The sequence below is a fragment of the Homo sapiens genome, chromosome X (assembly GCF_000001405.40).
Source record: "Homo sapiens chromosome X, GRCh38.p14 Primary Assembly".
NCBI classification, from domain to species: domain Eukaryota; kingdom Metazoa; phylum Chordata; class Mammalia; order Primates; family Hominidae; genus Homo; species Homo sapiens.
The window spans coordinates 25,118,320-25,135,161 of record NC_000023.11 but is presented as its reverse complement, the minus strand read 5'-3'; the positions used below and the strand labels follow the sequence as shown (position 1 = coordinate 25,135,161).

General features: G+C 39.9%; 1 annotated feature.

Moving 5' to 3' along the window:
* Positions 4,047-4,548: an enhancer, noted in NCBI's record as "NANOG hESC enhancer chrX:25148731-25149232 (GRCh37/hg19 assembly coordinates)". NCBI's record gives its function as "activates a minimal SCP1, AML or CMV promoter by ChIP-STARR-seq in naive H9 embryonic stem cells {active_cell/tissue: H9 hESC(naive)}" and the evidence as "EXISTENCE:reporter gene assay evidence [ECO:0000049][PMID:30033119]".

Genomic DNA, 16,842 nt, shown 5'->3' with positions numbered 1-16,842 from the left:
ATACACCCATTCCAAATGGGAGAAATTGGCTAAAACAAAGGGGCTACAGGCCCCATACAAGTCTGAAATGCAGTGGGGCAGTTAAATCTTAAAGCTCCGAAGTGATATCCTTTGACTCCGTGTCTCACACCCAGGTCACACTGATGCAAGAAGTAGGCTCCCATGGCCTTAGGCAGCTCCACTCCTGTGACTTTGCAGGGTACAGCCCCACTCCTGGTACCAATTTACTGTATTAGCCTGTTTTCACACTGCTATAAAGAACTGCCGGAGAGTAGGTAATTTATAAAAGAAAGAGGTTTAATTGACTCACAGTTCAGCATGGCTGGGGAGGCCTCAGGAAACTTACAATCATGGTGGAAGGCAAAGGGAAGCAAGGCACCTTCTTCACAAGGTGACAGGAAGGAGAAGTGATGAGTGAAGGGGAAAGAGCCCCTTATAAAACCATCAGATCTCATGAGAACTCACTGACTATCAGGAGAACAGTATGGGGGAAACCGCCCCCATGATTGAATTACCTCCACCTGGTCCCACCCTTGACACATAAAGATTACAATTCAAGGTGAAATTTGAGTGGGGACACAAAGCCAAACGATATCACATGGAAACAGCAAAAATATGGGAAGACGGCAGGGCACGGTGGCTCACTCCTGTAATCCCAGCACTTTGGGAGGCCGAGGTGGGCAGATCACGAGGTCAGGAGTTTGAGACCAGCCTGGCCTACATGGTGAAACCCCATCTCTACTCAAAATACAAAAATTAGCCGGGCATGGTGTCATGCGCCTGTAATCCCAGCTACTCGGGAGGCTGAGGCAGGAGAGTTGCTTGAACCCGGGAGGCAGAGGTTGCAGTGAACCGAGATGGTGCCACTGCACTCCAGCCTGGGCGACAGAGTGAGACTGTCTCAAAAAAAACGGGGGGGGGGGAAGATACAATAGGATATCCTTCTCATGAGTTTTATAAATAATATTTGATGATTGAAACAAAAATTATAATATGATTTAATACTCAAGAGAATGACAATTAAAAGTGGGAAAAGTAAAGGGATCTAAATGGAACAAAGCTTTCCATACATTCCCTTGTTGATACAAGTAGAATGTGATGTCACATCTGTATATCCAGAGCCACCACTAAGAAAACTATACAAAAAGATACACACAAAAACTCTATAAATAAAACAAGATGCAATCCTTGAAAATATTCAAATAACCCACAGGAAGGCAAGAAAAAAGAAACAGAGGAATGAGAAACAGAAAAAACAAACAGCAATAAAATGTAAGACTTAAATCCTAGCATATAAATAATTACTTTAATTATAAATTTACACAATTTTCCTTTTTTTCCGAGATGGAAAAAAAGATGGGTGGGAGGAGGGAGAAGAGCAGAAAAAATTACTATTGGGTACTGGGCTTAATACCTGGGTGATGAAATAATCTGTACAACAAACCCCCATGACACGAGTTTACCTATATAACAAACCTTCACATGTACCCCTGAACCCAAAATAAAAGTTGTTTAAAAAAATAGGGCTGAAAGGGTGAACAGATAAATCCACAATTGTGGTTGAAGATTTCAATACCCCCCTCTTATCAGCAATTGATAGAACTTCTAGATAGAAAATCATCAAAGATACAGAAGATTTGAACAACACAATCAACATATACAGGTTGAATGTCCCTTATCCAAAAAGCTTGGGACCAGAAGTATTACCAATTTCAGGTTTTTCTCAGATTCTAGGTATTTGCATTATACTCACCAGTTGAGCATTCCAAATCCAAAAATCTGAAATCTGAAATGTTCCAATGAGCGTTTCCTTTGATCATGTTGGTGCTCAAAAAGCTCCAGCTTTTGGAGCATTTTGGATGTTAGATTTTTGGATTTAGGATGCTCAATTTGTATAGAACATTCCACCCAGCAACAGCAGAATACACATTTTTTTCAAGTTCTCATGGAACATTCACCAAGACAGACTGTATTTTGGGCCTTAAAACAAACCTCAACAAATTTAAAAGAAGACACAGAATGCACTCTCTGACAATAATGGAATCAAACTAGAAATCAATAACAAAAACAAGAAAAACTCTGAACACGTGGAAATTAACAAACACACTTCTAAATAATCCATAAATCAAAGAGGAAGTCAAAAAGGAAATAAATTGTACAAAGAACTGAAAAAAATGAAAATAAAACATAACATAATATGTAACATACAGCTAAAGCATTTCTGAAAGGATAATTTCTAGTACCAAATGCTTACATTAGAAAAGAGAAGAGGTCTCAAATTAGTAATCTTAAGTTTTTATCTCAAGAAACTAAAAAAGAACAAAATAAACCCAAAGCAAGTAGAGGATCAGATAAGATAAAAAGAGAAATCAACAAATTTAAAACAAAAAAATAGAAAAAAAATCAATGAAACAAAAAGCTAGTTCTTCGAAAAATTCAGTAAAACTACTAAACCTTTAGCAAGACTGACAAAAATAAAAATGAAGAAGATACATTTTACTAATGTCACAAATGAAACGGGATATCACTAAAGATTCTGGAGCCATTAAACAGATAATAAGAGAATAATATGGACCACTTTATGCTCATGAATTCAAAAATTTAGAAAAGACGGACCATTTCCTAAAAAACCAAAACCACCAAAACTCAACTAAGATTAAATAGATAATCTAAATAGTCTCACAACTATCAAAAAAATTGAATTCATAATTTAAAAGCTCCCAAAAAAGAAATTTCCATACCCAGATGGTTTCACTGGAGAATTCTACCAAACTTTTAAAGAATTAACCCCAGTTCTACACTAGCTTGTGCAAAAACTAAAAAATGAGGAATTACTTTCCAACTCGTTTTATGAGACCAGTATTACCCTGATTCCAAAAGTAGACAAATAAAATACAAAAAAAAGAAAACTACAGATCAATATCTCTCATGAATTTAAACACAAAAATTGTCCTGGGTTGGACTGGAACAGGAAAAGGATATTTATGGAAAAACTAGTGAAATCCAAATAAAGTCTGAGGTTTAGTTAATAGTTGGAAAAACTCTATTATACTACAAAAATGTCTATTATGGGTTATTTTGACTATCTTTTTGTTTCAATTACATTTTGATAAGCTAATATATAATCATTTGTTCATCAGTTCTTAGTATTTGTCAAGACTTGCTTGGTGGGCTAGCATGCAGTAATTTTTTTGTGTCCATGTTTCCCCAAGTGTACAGAATTTTATATATATATATAAAATACATGTTATATATGTAATTATATATTATATATCTAATATATAATATATGTTATATATAAAATACATATTTCTGATATATATATCCATTAGATCTAGCTTGTAATTGTGTTGTTTAAATTGATTATGACCTGTTTACTTTTGTGTCTGCTTATTTGTTAGTCTTCAGAAGATATAATGTTCTCTTCTAATTGTGAAATGTGTTAATATTTCTTGAAATTCTAATGACTTATTCTTTACAAATTTTGACAGCCTGTTATTAGATATATACAGGATCAGGATTAGTATATATTCCTGATTAAATGTTGCCTCTGTCATTGTGTAATGATTTCTTTGGAATTTTTTTTCCTTTATGGTATCTTCTTTCTGATATTTATATTGCCACACCAGCCTTCTTCTGATTATTTGTCTGGTATAACTTATTTTATCCCTTTACTCCAAATCCTTTTGTGTCCTTATACTTTTGTTTTATCTCTTGCAAAGAATATTTAGCTGGATTTGGTATTTTATAATCTAATCTTTTGAACAGATTAGCTTAGTGCACTAAACTAATTATTGGTTTTGATTATTTGCAGTATTGGATTTATTTCCACCATCACATACACATACATCTAGTGGAGAGTCAGAGACAGAATGACTCACAGTTTGCTGAATGCCTTCCTTGTCATCCTGAACAGTTTTTATTGTGTCATCAATCCAGACAGAAGCTCTTACCCTGAGCATCAGTCAGCTTCTCACTGTTAAAAACTTCATAGTTTAAAAGAGAACACATGTGCTTACAAAATGGAATTGAGAATTACCATATTGACAACCTGGATGTTTAATGAAGCTAAGACACTGTTTTCAAGATAGAAGGTCCATGAGTGTGAATTTGAGTTTCTAAGTAATGAAGACAATTGAATACAGAGAAGATATTCGATTTGATAAGTGAGAAGGAGAAACAAAGGGTCATGCAGCTCAAGATATTCCCTGCACTCCTCTAGAAATGCAGGTTCCTACTCACAGAAACACTTAAATCTTCACACAGCCAGCATCTCATCTTGTATTATGCATACAGACAGGCTATAGAAATAACAACATTCATGGCATTCCATAAGGTCCCCATTCCATTCTATGGCCTCTTACTCCCAGAAAGCTTTTTTTCCTGCTGTTTCAGAGGAAACTGAAGCTAATGGAGATGAAATCCATCAACTAACTCCACTCCTCCAAATATATTTATAGCCATACTCATCCTTATAACTCTAGCCTACCTATCTCCTCTCAAAAAGGTGAACCCTCGGCCGGGCGCAGTGGCTCATGCCTGTAATCCTAGCACTTTGGGAGGCCAAGGCAGGTCGATCATCTGAGGTCAGGAGTTCAAGACCAGCCTGGCCAACATGGTGAAACCCTGTCTCTACTAAAAATGCAAAAATTACCTGGGCGTGGTGACAGGCGCCTGTAATCCCAGCTACTCAGGAGGCTGAGGCAGGAGAATTGCTTGAACCCAGGAGGCGGAGGTTGCAGTGAGCTGAGATCGTGCCACTGCACTCCAGTCTGGGCAACAGAGCAAGACTCTGTTTCTAGGATAAAAAAAAAAAAGGTAAACCCTCTACCTATATTGGTATATTCCAACAGTTATGCCTCCTTCCCTTGAATTTTAAATCTCCACCTCTTTTCTGCCTCCTTCTGTTCAGGTTATAAGCATGTTCAAATTTCTTCCCATATTATAAATCAGTGGTTCTCAAAAGGTAGTCCAGGAATCCCTGCAAGGGTAAGGGTCCGTGAGTCCCTTTCTAGCGATCTGCAAGGTCTTCCGTTTACCAACCACACATGTAAGTGAGGCGAGATATTTCTTATTTACTTCAACAAAGAAAACATATTGCGACAGATCAAATGTTGGAGATATAATACAGCTGTCTTTTACTAAGTCAGACATTAAAGAAATTTGCAAAAATGCAAAACAATGTCGCTCTTCTCACTGATTTTTTTGTTTAGAAAAATAGTTATTTTTCATTAAAGTATGCTCTGATAAGAAGTAATGGAGTTATTATTGCTATTTAATCAAATATTTTTAAAATTTTGTATTAATATGTAATATAATAAATATTGATAAATATAATCCCCATAAACAAAAGTTTCTGGGGGTCCTTGATAATGTTTTATGAATAGAAAAAGGGTCCAGAGAGGTAAAGAATTGAGAACTGCCACTATGAATAAATTCTTTTCTCAATCCTTCCACCAAAACAGGCTACTGCTCTCTCTTTTTTTTTTTTTTTTTTTTTGAGATGGAGTCTCACCCTTGACCCTTGTCACCCAGGCTGGAGTGCAATGGCTCAATCTCGGCTCACTGCAACCTCTGCCTCCCGGGTTCAAGTGATTCTCCTGCCTCAGCGTCCCGAGTAGCTGGGATTACAGGTGCATGCCACCACACCTGGCTAATTTTTTATATTTTTGGTAGAGATGGGGTTTCACCATGTTGGCCAGGCTGGTCTCGTGCTCTTTTCCGCCTTTGCCACCAACAAGGAGTCAACGCTCCCTGTTCCCATTTCCTCTGCTCCAATTATCTCTGCAATCCATCAGAATCCAACTTCTGCTTCCCATCACTCCACTGAAACCGTTCTCAGCAAGGTCACTGGTGACTTCTTTTTTAAAGAATTTTTATTGTGTTATTTTATGATTACAAAAGTAATGCATGGCTGTTGTCAGACATTTGGAAAATGCATATAAGCAAAAACAAAAAACAGTAATAAAAATCACCCCAATCTCACCACCAAGAGATAAGCATTGTTAGGAATCTGTCCCTCTAGGGTTTTCAATGCACTGCATTACAAAGATGATATTAGAAAATACATATTTTTCTGGCCAGGTGCAGTGGCTCACACCTGTAATTCTAGCATTTTGGGAGGCTGAGATGGGAGGATCATTTGAGGCCAGGAGTTCGAGACCAGCCTGGTCAACAAAGTAAGGCCCCATCTCTGTTAAAAAATAATGATAAAAAAGTATAATTTTTTTAAAAAAGAAAATACATATTTTTCTGAGTGTATGTTTTACATAGTGTTTTGAAACCTGCTTTTTTGCTGACTAGGTCACTGGTGGCCTCCTAAGTACAAAATCCTATAATTTCTTATCAATCTTTAGTCTCCTTGGTCTCCCTGAATCACTTGGCATTGCCAACCATTCCATCCTTTTAGCTTCTCTTCTCCTTCATTCCACACAGCACACTCTCTTCGTTCCCCTCTGATCTCTCTGTCCACTCCTTCCCAGTCACCTTCATTCTTCCTACATGACCCCATTGTTTCTAAAGCTTTAACTGCCCTCTATATGTAGATGAATCCTGGATCTCTATTTCTAACCCCTATTTTCTGCTGAACTCAAAACCCAAATTTCTAACATCCCACTGGCCAACTCCACCTCTACATTTCACAGACTTTTCAAAACCAACATATCAAAACTAACATTTTCTGGCCAAGTGCGGTGGCTGACGCCTGTAATCCCAGCACTTTGAGAGGCCAAGGCAGGTGGATCACCTGAGGTCAGGAGTTCGAGACCAGCCTGGCCAACATGGCAAAACCCCATCTCTACTAAAAATACAAAATTAGCCAGCCATGGTGGTGCACACCTGTAGTCCCAGCTACTCAGGAGGCTGAGGCAGGAGAATTGCTTGAACTCAGGAGGCAGAGGTTGCAGTGAGCTGAGATCATGCCACTGCACTCCAGCCTGGACAACAGAGTGAGACTCTATCTAAAAAAAAAAAAAACTAACATTTTCATATCCCTCTCCCAATCTCCTTCTTATTCTGGAATAACTCGTTTCACCTGATAGTCCCATTTGCCTAAAACAGAAACATGAACCTCAAGGTCCACTCCACATTTTCTGTCAACCACATTAAACAATTCATTTTCAAATACAGTATCTCCCAATGGTCTCTAGAGTCTGTCACCTCCTCACTCACACCACTGCTACTGCTGTCATCAGTACTCAGCTTGTAACCATGCCCCTTCCTCTAGTCTCTCCTTCAAAACTAACAAGAATGTGGAGTTAACTTCCTGAAATACAAATCTGATCATACTACTCCATCTTTCTATGGCTCCTCATTGCATGAGGGCCCTCACTGTCTGGTTTCAACTCCCTCAAGTCCCACATGCATACACGTTCTGTGCTCCAACCACTAAAGCTACTTATCGTTCCCCAAACATTCTATGCCATTTGACATACTTTGCGTTTCTGCCTGCTATTCTCTCTGCCCTTCCCCCATTCTCCACCCAACAAATTCCTCACCTTTAAAGACACCACTCAAATGCCTTTACCTTTTGAAGCCTTCCATGAATCCTCCAAAGACTTGTTGGTTGCTCCCTCATCTCTCCTCATAGGGCTTAGCATCTCTGTCATAGCTTTTATTACACCATATTGGAATGGTCCATCTGCATATCTATGGTCATGTCAAGGGCTGAGATCTTGTCTTAACCATCCTTATACCTCTACCCTCACCTATTGGACAGTTGTTGGATGGATGACTAAATATATACTAAACAAAATTTACTTTGTAGCCTTCCTACTTGATATAACATCCTATGAAGAAGCTACAAATCAAATAAATATACTGCCGAGCATTGGTACTCACTTGCATTCACAGAAGTAACATCTGTGGTGCACAGAGAGTTAATCCTCTGGCAACTAGCACAGTTAGACACAACATAAGCAACCCCAAAAAGTAGTAAGGGAATGTTATTCCAGACAACACGTTAAATGAACTCTTACCGAATATTTTCTAAAACTTACTCTCCATCTTAGACTTTGGACCCAGACCTTTCCCAATGAAATACAATGGAAATTGAGTAATTTTTTATAGTTCAATTTTTATTTTAGATCCAGGGGATACATGTGCCAGTGTGTTACATGGGTATATTGCATGACCCTGAGGTTTGCGGTAAAAATGATCCTGTCACCCAGGTAGTCAGCATAGTACCCAAAAGGTAGTTTTTCAGACCTTCCCCCACCTCTGTCCTTCCTCTAGTAGTCCCCAGTGTTTCTTTGTTGTTGTTGCCATCTTTATGTCTGTGTGTACCCAATGCTTATCTCCCACTTATAAGTGAGGACATGAGGTATTTGGTTTTCTGTTTCTGTACTAATTCTCTTAGGATTATGGCCTCCAGCTGTACCCATGTTGCTGTAAGGGACGTGGTTTTGTTCTTTTTGTGGCTGTGTAGCATTCCATGGTATATATGTACCACATTTTCTTTTCCAGTCCACCACTGATGGGCACCTGGGTTGATTCTATGTCTTTGCTACTGTGAATAGTGCTATGGTGAACATATGAGTGCATGTGTCTTTTTGGTAGAACAGTTTATAGTCCTTTGGGTATATACCCAGTAATGGGATTGCTGGGTTGAATGACAGTTCTGTTTGAAGTCCTCTGAGAAATCAAAATTGAGTAATTTAGACAGAAAAACAGATAGCACTATCCAAAGGAAAAAAAATCTGGCTTTTATTTGCTTTGTGACTGTAGGCAAATTACTGAATTTCTCTGTACCTCAGTTTCCTCATCCGTGAGATCAAGACAAATCTGACTTAGATTTTTTTTTTTAATTTAGAGAATATATGTAATGGAATGCAGTCCTCATCAACATAGCAATTCTTCAGCGTTTAAGAAAATTGGTCATTTGAAAATGTCTATATTGGGTAGTATATGCAATTGGTCTGCCTTAATTAAGGTCATTTATTTATGACTCTTTTATCAAAGAGTAAATTCAATATGGAATCAAATATAAGGGAATAAAAAAAGTTAATGATCAGAACATAGTCTTAATACCAAGACTGGACTGTCAGCTAGGCCTAATCCTTTGCTAAGTAATAAAACTCATCTTTTGCTCACACACACAAAAATACCTAGTAGTATATCCCACTCTTAAACCAAGAACACATTACCCAAGGACTAAAAGAATTCAAATGTCCATTTCGGTCACTTAAGGAAGGTTGCAGAAACCTGTTCGTTTAATGAATGCTGTTCACAGCTGTGCCCTGACAAATGACCCCCAAACCTTTGGGTTATTTCAGAATTTCTGAACTCATCTGAAGTCTATTTCAGGTTTACATCCTGACCAGAAAATTATACACAGCCCATCCATGGATCTCAACTGGCTGTGCGGCAGCCTTCTAAGTCAATTTAGCTAATTTCTTTCACCACCCTTGGCTGTCTATGGGTAATTAAGAGGTTAACATAACAAAAGTGGAGAGTGTACACTCGTGGTGGGAATCTGTACAAAGGGTGACCTTTGAGCCTTCCACCTGTCACTGCCCATTCTGGCCACACACCAGTTTTCTTTGTGAGTTACAAAAAAGTGTTTCAGGGCCTCAGCAAAGGTGGCCAGCTATCCTGAAATCCTAAAATTTCCAAACAGCAAGGGATTGGGAAACTGCAATGCAAATGGCTAATAAATACGAATTACCACAAATCGTGCTAGCATATAAATTAAAGAAACTAAGAAACAATTCAAAGATGGGATTTCAGAAGAAGGACTGTATTTGTCTATTGAAACTTTCCTGTTTTTTTACAACAGGAGTAGGATTTACACACACACACACACACACACACACACACACCCTACTCTTTTACAATGAACTACATTTGACCAAAAGATGACATTGATAAAAACAAGTTTGAGGCCGGGCGCGGTGGCTCACGCCTGTAATCCCAGCACTTTGGGAGGCCAAGGTGGGCAGATCACCTGAGGTCAGGAGATGGAGACCAACCTGGCCAACATGGTGAAACCCCGTCTCTGCTAAAAATGCAAAAATTAGCCGGGCGTAGTGGCACACACCTATAGTACCAGCTACTTGGGAGGCTGAGGCAGGGCAATTGCTTGAACCCGGGAGGCAGAGGTTGTAGTGAACTGAGATCGCACCACTGCAGTCCAGCCTGGGTGACAAGAGCAAAACTCCATCTGAAAAAAAAAAGTTAGAGATCAATAAATGCATTATGATTTTAGACCCAAATTCAAGTTGACTAGGGGTAGGGTTAGGAGGACAAAAATATGAAAGTATTTTCCTGAAATCGCCTTTCTTAAGAGCATGTACAGAGGAAAGAACATCTTTCCATTTGTCCACTTCTGGATCCAAGCTCTAATACAAACATATTTGAATAATGTATGCACATAATAGTATTTAATAGCAGCAAATTCACACACCTGCTGGTTTTCCTCCATGTGAAAGGAGGAATGTAAAGGTCAATTGGATGATTTCCCTTTAGGTAGTGCAACTAGACAGCTGCAGTTCAAATCCCAGTGCTATGTGATCCTGGCAAGTTATTTATCCTCTCTGTGCCTCAGTTTTTTTCATATGAAAATGGAGTTGATAAAAAGAACTTACCTCATGGCTTTGTTATGAGGATCATATGAATCCATAGACAAAATGCATTTAGAACTGAGCTAGGCGCAAAGGAAGCTATTGTTATTGTTATTACCATTCTATTATTTAAGCCTCGAAAGATAGCCATAGATTTTGAAGTAACCAGCATGTAATCAATTTATCTGACAGAGGTTAGAATTTACTATCAGTTCACCAAGCTCTCACTTGACAGACATGAAAAAATGAGTGATATTTAAAAACCAGCAAAGAAATTGCCAGTTCTAAGACCTCAACCAAGATCATGCTTATTTCTGAAAGCCCTCCGAGGAAAAAAAAATTACCCACATATGTGTACATAAAAGATGGCCGAAATTCTTTGCTACATCTTTCATGGTGGGGGAGTTTCTATGTCCCCTCCTCATGGAATCTTGGAATGGTCTGTGACTGCTTTGACCAGCAGAATACATTAGAAGTGACATTGTGCCAATTTCTTGACCCAGGCATTACAAGTCTGGTAGCTTCTGCTTCTTGTCTCTTGGAATGCTCACCCTTGGGACACTGTCTGTGGAAATCCAACCACCATGGTGTGAGAAGTCAAAGCCACATAAAAAGACCATGTGTAGGCTGGGTGCAGTGGCTCATGCCTGTAATCCCAGCACTTTGAGAGGCCAAGGTGGGTGGATCACGAGGTCAGGGGTTCGAAACCAACCTGACGAACATGGTAAAAACCCATCTCTACTAAAAATACAAAATTATTTGGGCGTGGTGGTGCCCACCTGTCATCCCAGCTCCTTGGGAGGCTGAGGCAGGAGAATTGCTTGAACCCGGGAGATGGAGGTTGCAGTGAGCCGAGATTACACCATTGCACACAGCCCGGGCAACAAGAGCAAAACTCCATCTCAAAAAAGAAAAGAGACCAAGCGTAGGCACTTCAGATGACAATCCCAGCTCAGCTTCCAGCTGATAGTCAGCATCAACTACATGCTGCATAACAAACAACCCAAAATCTCAGAGGCTTACAATAATAGAGACATATTTTTTTGCTCACAGCTCTGAGGGTTATCTAGGGTATCTCTGCAGCTGCAGATTGACTGGGCTGCAGCTGGAGTCTAGGTCTGCTCCACATGTCTCTTCATTCTCTTTGGACCAGTGACTATTTGAGATATGCTCTTCTACTGGCAAAAAGACAAGCCAAATCATCATGGACATTTAAAGGAGATCAAGGCATCATCACAGTTGCTAAATTTTATTGGTCAAAGCAGGTCCATGGCCAAACCAACATCAAGAAGGTAGAGAAATGTACTCCACCTACTCTAGTAGGAGAAACTGCAAAGGAACATGACAAAGGGTACAGTTGTAGAATTCTCTGTGAGGAAGGGAGGGAAGAACTGGTGACAGTTATCAATTTTTACTCCATTAAAAGTTTCACAGGACTGTTCCAAGATGGCCGAATAGGAGGAGCTCCAGTCTACAGTTCCCAGCATGAGCGATGCAGAAGATGGGTGATTTCTGCATTTCCAACTGAGGTACCAGGTTCATCTCACTGGGACTGGTTGGACAGTGGGTGCAGCCCATGGAGTGTGAGCCAAAGCAGGGCAGGGCAACGCCTCACTCGGAAAGTCTAAGGGGTCAGGGGATTTTCCTATACTAGCCAAGGGAAGCCGTGACAGACAGTACCTGAAAAATCAGGACACTCCCACCCTAATACTGTGCTTTTCCAATGGTCTTAGCAAATGGCACACCAGGAGATTATATCCCGCACATGGCTCGGTGGGTCCCATGCCCACAGAGCCTTGCTCACTGCTAGCACAGCAGTCCGAGATCAAACTGCGAAGTGGCAGTGAGGCTGAGGGAGGGGCGTCTGCTATTTCTGAGGCTTGACTAGGTAAACAAAGCAACCAGGAAGCTCGAACTAGGTGAGCCCACCACAGCTCAAGAAGGCCTGTCTGAAAACGGACAGACTGCCTCCTCATGTGGGTCCCTGAACCCCGAGTAGCCTAACTGGGAGACACCTCCCAGTAGGGGTTGACTGACACCTCATACAGTTGGGGGCCCCTCTGAGACGAAGCTTCCAGAGGAAGGATCAGGCAGCAACATTTGCTGTTCTGCAATATTTGCTGTTCTGCAGCTGCTGCTGGTGATACCCAGGCAAATAGGGTCTGGAGTGGACCTCCAGCAAACTCCAACAGACCTGCAGCTGAGGGTCCTGCCTGTTAGAAGGAAAACTAACAAACAGAAAGGAATAGCATCAACATTAACAAAAAAGACATCCACACCAAAACCCCATCTGTAGGTCACCATCATCAAAGACCAAAGGTAGGTAAAACCACAAAGATGGGGAGAAACCAGAGCAGAAAAGCTGAAAATTCTAAAAACCAGAGTGCCTCATCTCCTCCAAAGGATTGCAGCTCCTCACCAGCAATGGAACAAAGCTGGATGGAGAATGACTTTGACGAGTTGACAGAAGTAGACTTCAGAATATCGGTAATAACAAACTTCTCCGAGCTAAAGGAGGATGTTTGAACCCATCGCAAGGAAGCTAAAAACCTTGAAAAAAGATTAGACAAATGGCTAACTAGAATAAACAGCATAGAGAAGACCTTAAATGACCTGATGGAGCTGAAAACCATGGCACGAGAACTACATGACGCATGCACAAGCTTCGGTAACCTATTTGATCAAGTAGAAGAAAGGGTATCAGTGATTGAAGATCAAATGAATGATATGAAGTGAGAAGAGAAGTTTAGAGAAAAAAGAGTAAAAAGAAACAAACAAAGCCTCCAAGAAATATGGGACTATGTGAAAAGACCAAATCTACATCTGATTGGTGTACCTGAAAGTGACGGGGAGAATGGAACCAAGTTGGAAAACACTCTGCAGGATATCATCCAGGAGAACCTCCCCAACCTAGAAAGGCAGGACAACATTCAAATTCAGGAAATACAGAGAACGTCACAAGGATACTCCTCGAGAAGAGCAACCCCAAGACACATAATTGTCAGATTCACCAAGGTTGAAATGAAGGAAAAAATGTTAAGGGCAGCAAGAGAGAAAGGTCAGGTTACACACAAAGGGAAGCCCATCGGACTAACAGCAGACCTCTCAGCAGAAACTCTAAAAGCCAGAAGAGAGTGGGGGCCAATATTCAACATTCTTAAAGAAAAGAATTTTCAACCCAGAATTTCATATCCAGCCAAACTAAGCTTCATAAGTGAAGGAGAAATAAAATCCTTTACAGACAAGCAAATGCTGAGAGATTTTGTCACCACCAGGCCTGCCTTACAAGAGCTCCTGAAGGAAGCACTAAACATGAAAAGAACAACCGGTACCAGCCACTGCAAAAACATGCCAAATTGTAAAGACCATCAATGCTATGCAGAAACTGCATCAACTAACAAGCAAAGTAACCAGCTAACATCATAATGACAGGATCAAATTCACACACAACAATATTAACCCTAAATGTAAATGGGCTAAATGCCCCAATTAAAAGACACAGACTAGAAAATTGGATAAAGAGTCAAGACCCATCAGTGTGCTGTATTCAGGAGAACCATCTCATGTGCAGAGACACACATAGGCTCAAAATAAAGGGATGGAGGAAGATCTACCAAGCAAATGGAAAACAAAAAAAAAAAAGCAGGGGTTGCAATCCTAGTCTCTGATAAAACAGACTTTAAACCAACAAAGATCAAAAGAGACAAAGAAGGCCATTACATAAAGGTAAAGGGATCAATTCAACAAGAGCTAACTATCCTAAATATATATGCACCCAATACAGGAGCACCCAGATTCATAAAGCAAGTCCTTAGAGACCTACAAAGAGACTTAGACTCCCACACAATAATAATGGGAGACTTTAACACCCCACTGTCAACATTAGACAGATCAACGAGACAGAAAGTTAACAAGGATATCCAGGACTTGAACTCACGTCTGCACCAAGCAGACCTAATAGACATCTACAGAACTCTCCATCCCAAATCAACAGAATAGACATTCTTCTCAGCACCACATCGCACTTATTCCAAAATGGACCACATAGTTGGAAGTAAAGCACTCCTCAGCAAATGTAAAAGAACAGAAATCACAACAAACTGTCTCTCAGACCACAGTGCAATCAAATTAGAACTCAGGATTAAGAAACTCACTCAAAGCCGCTCAACTACATGGAAACTGAACAACCTGCTCCTGAATGACTACTGGGTAAATAACGAAATGAAGGCAGAAATAAAGATATTCTTTGAAACCAATGAGAACAAAGACACAACATACAAGAATCTCTGGGACACATTTAAAGCAGTGTGTAGAGGGAAATTTATAGCATTAAATGCCCACAAGAGAAAGCAGGAAAGATCTAAAACTGACACCCTAACATCACAATTAAAAGAACCAGAGAAGCAAGAGCAAACACATTCAAAAGCTAGCAGAAGGCAAGAAATAACTAAGATCAGAGCAGAACTGAAAGAGACAGAGACACAAAAAACCCTTCAAAAAATCAATGAATCCAGGAGCTGGTTTTTTGAAAAGACCAACAAAATTGATAGACCGCTAGCAAGACTAATAAAGAAGAAAAGAGAGAAGAATCAAATAGACGCAATAAAAAATGATAAAGGGGATATCACCACCGATCCCACAGAAATACAAACTACCATCAGAGAATACTATAAACACCTCTACGCAAATAAACTAGAAAATCTAGAAATAATGGATAAATTCCTCGACACATACACCCTCCCAAGACTAAACCAGGAAGAAGTTGAATCCCTGAACAGACCAATAACAGGCTCTGAAATTGAGGCAATAATTAATAGCCTACAAACCAAAAAAAGTCCAGGACCAGAAGGATTCACAGCCGAATTCTACCAGAGGTACAAAGAGGAGCTGGTATCATTCCTTCTGAAACTATTCCAGTCAACAGAAAGAGGGAATCCTCCCTAACTCTTTTATGAGGCCAGCATCATCCTGATATCAAAGCCGGGCAGAGACACAACAAAAAAAGAGAATTTTAGACCAATATCCCTGATGAACATTGATGCAAAAATCCTCAATAAAATACTGGCAAACCAAATCCAGCAGCACATCAAAAACCTTATCCACCATGATCAAGTGGGCTTCATCCCTGGGATGCAAGGCTGGTTCAACATATGCAAATCAATAAACGTAATTCAGCATATAAACAGAACCAAAGACAAAAACCACATGATTATCTCAATAGATGCAGAAAAGGCCTTTGACAAAATTCAACAACCCTTCATGCTAAAAACTCTCAATAAACTAGGTATTGATGGAATGTATCTCAAAATAATAAGATCTATTTATGACAAACCCACAGCCAATACCATACTGAATGGGCAAAAACTGGAAGAATTCCCTTTGAAAACTGGCGCAAGACAGGGATGCCCTCTCTCACCACTCCTATTCAACATAGTGTTGGAATTTCTGGCAAGGGCAATCAGGCAGGAGAAAGAAATAAAGGGTATTCAGTTAGGAAAAGAGGACGTCAAATTGTCCCTGTTTGCAGATGACATGATTGTATATTTAGAAAACTCCATCATCTCAGCCCAAAATCTCCTTAAGCTGATAAGCAACTTCAGCAAAGTCTCAGGATACAAAATCAATGTGCAAAAATCACAAGCATTCTTATACACCAATAACAGAGAGCCAAATCATGAGTGAACTCCCATTCACAATTGCTTCAAAGAGAATAAAATACCTAGGAATCCAACTTACAAGGGATGTGAAGGGCCTTTTCAAAGAGAACTACAAACCATTGCTCAACGAAATAAAAGAGGACACAAACAAATGGAAGAACATTCCATGCTCATGGACAGGAAGAATCAATATCATGAAAATGGCCATACTGCCCAAGGTAATTTATAGATTCAATGCCATCCCCATCAAGCTACCAACGACTTTCTTCACAGAATTGGAAAAAACTACTTTAAAGTTCATATGGAACCAAAAAAGAGCCTGCATTGCCAAGACAATCCTAAGCAAAAAGAACAAAGCTGGAGGTATCACGCTATCTGACTTCAAACTATACCACAAGGCTACAGTAACCAAAACAGCATGGTATTGGTACCAAAACAGAGATGTGGACCAATAGAACAGAACGGAGCCCTCAGAAATGATACCACACATCTGCAACCATCTGGTCTTTGACAAACCTGACCCAAACAAGAAATAGGGAAAGGATTCCCTGTTTAATGAATGTTGCTGGGAAGACAGGCTGACCATGTGTAGAGAGCTGAAGCTGGATCCCTTACTTACACCTCAT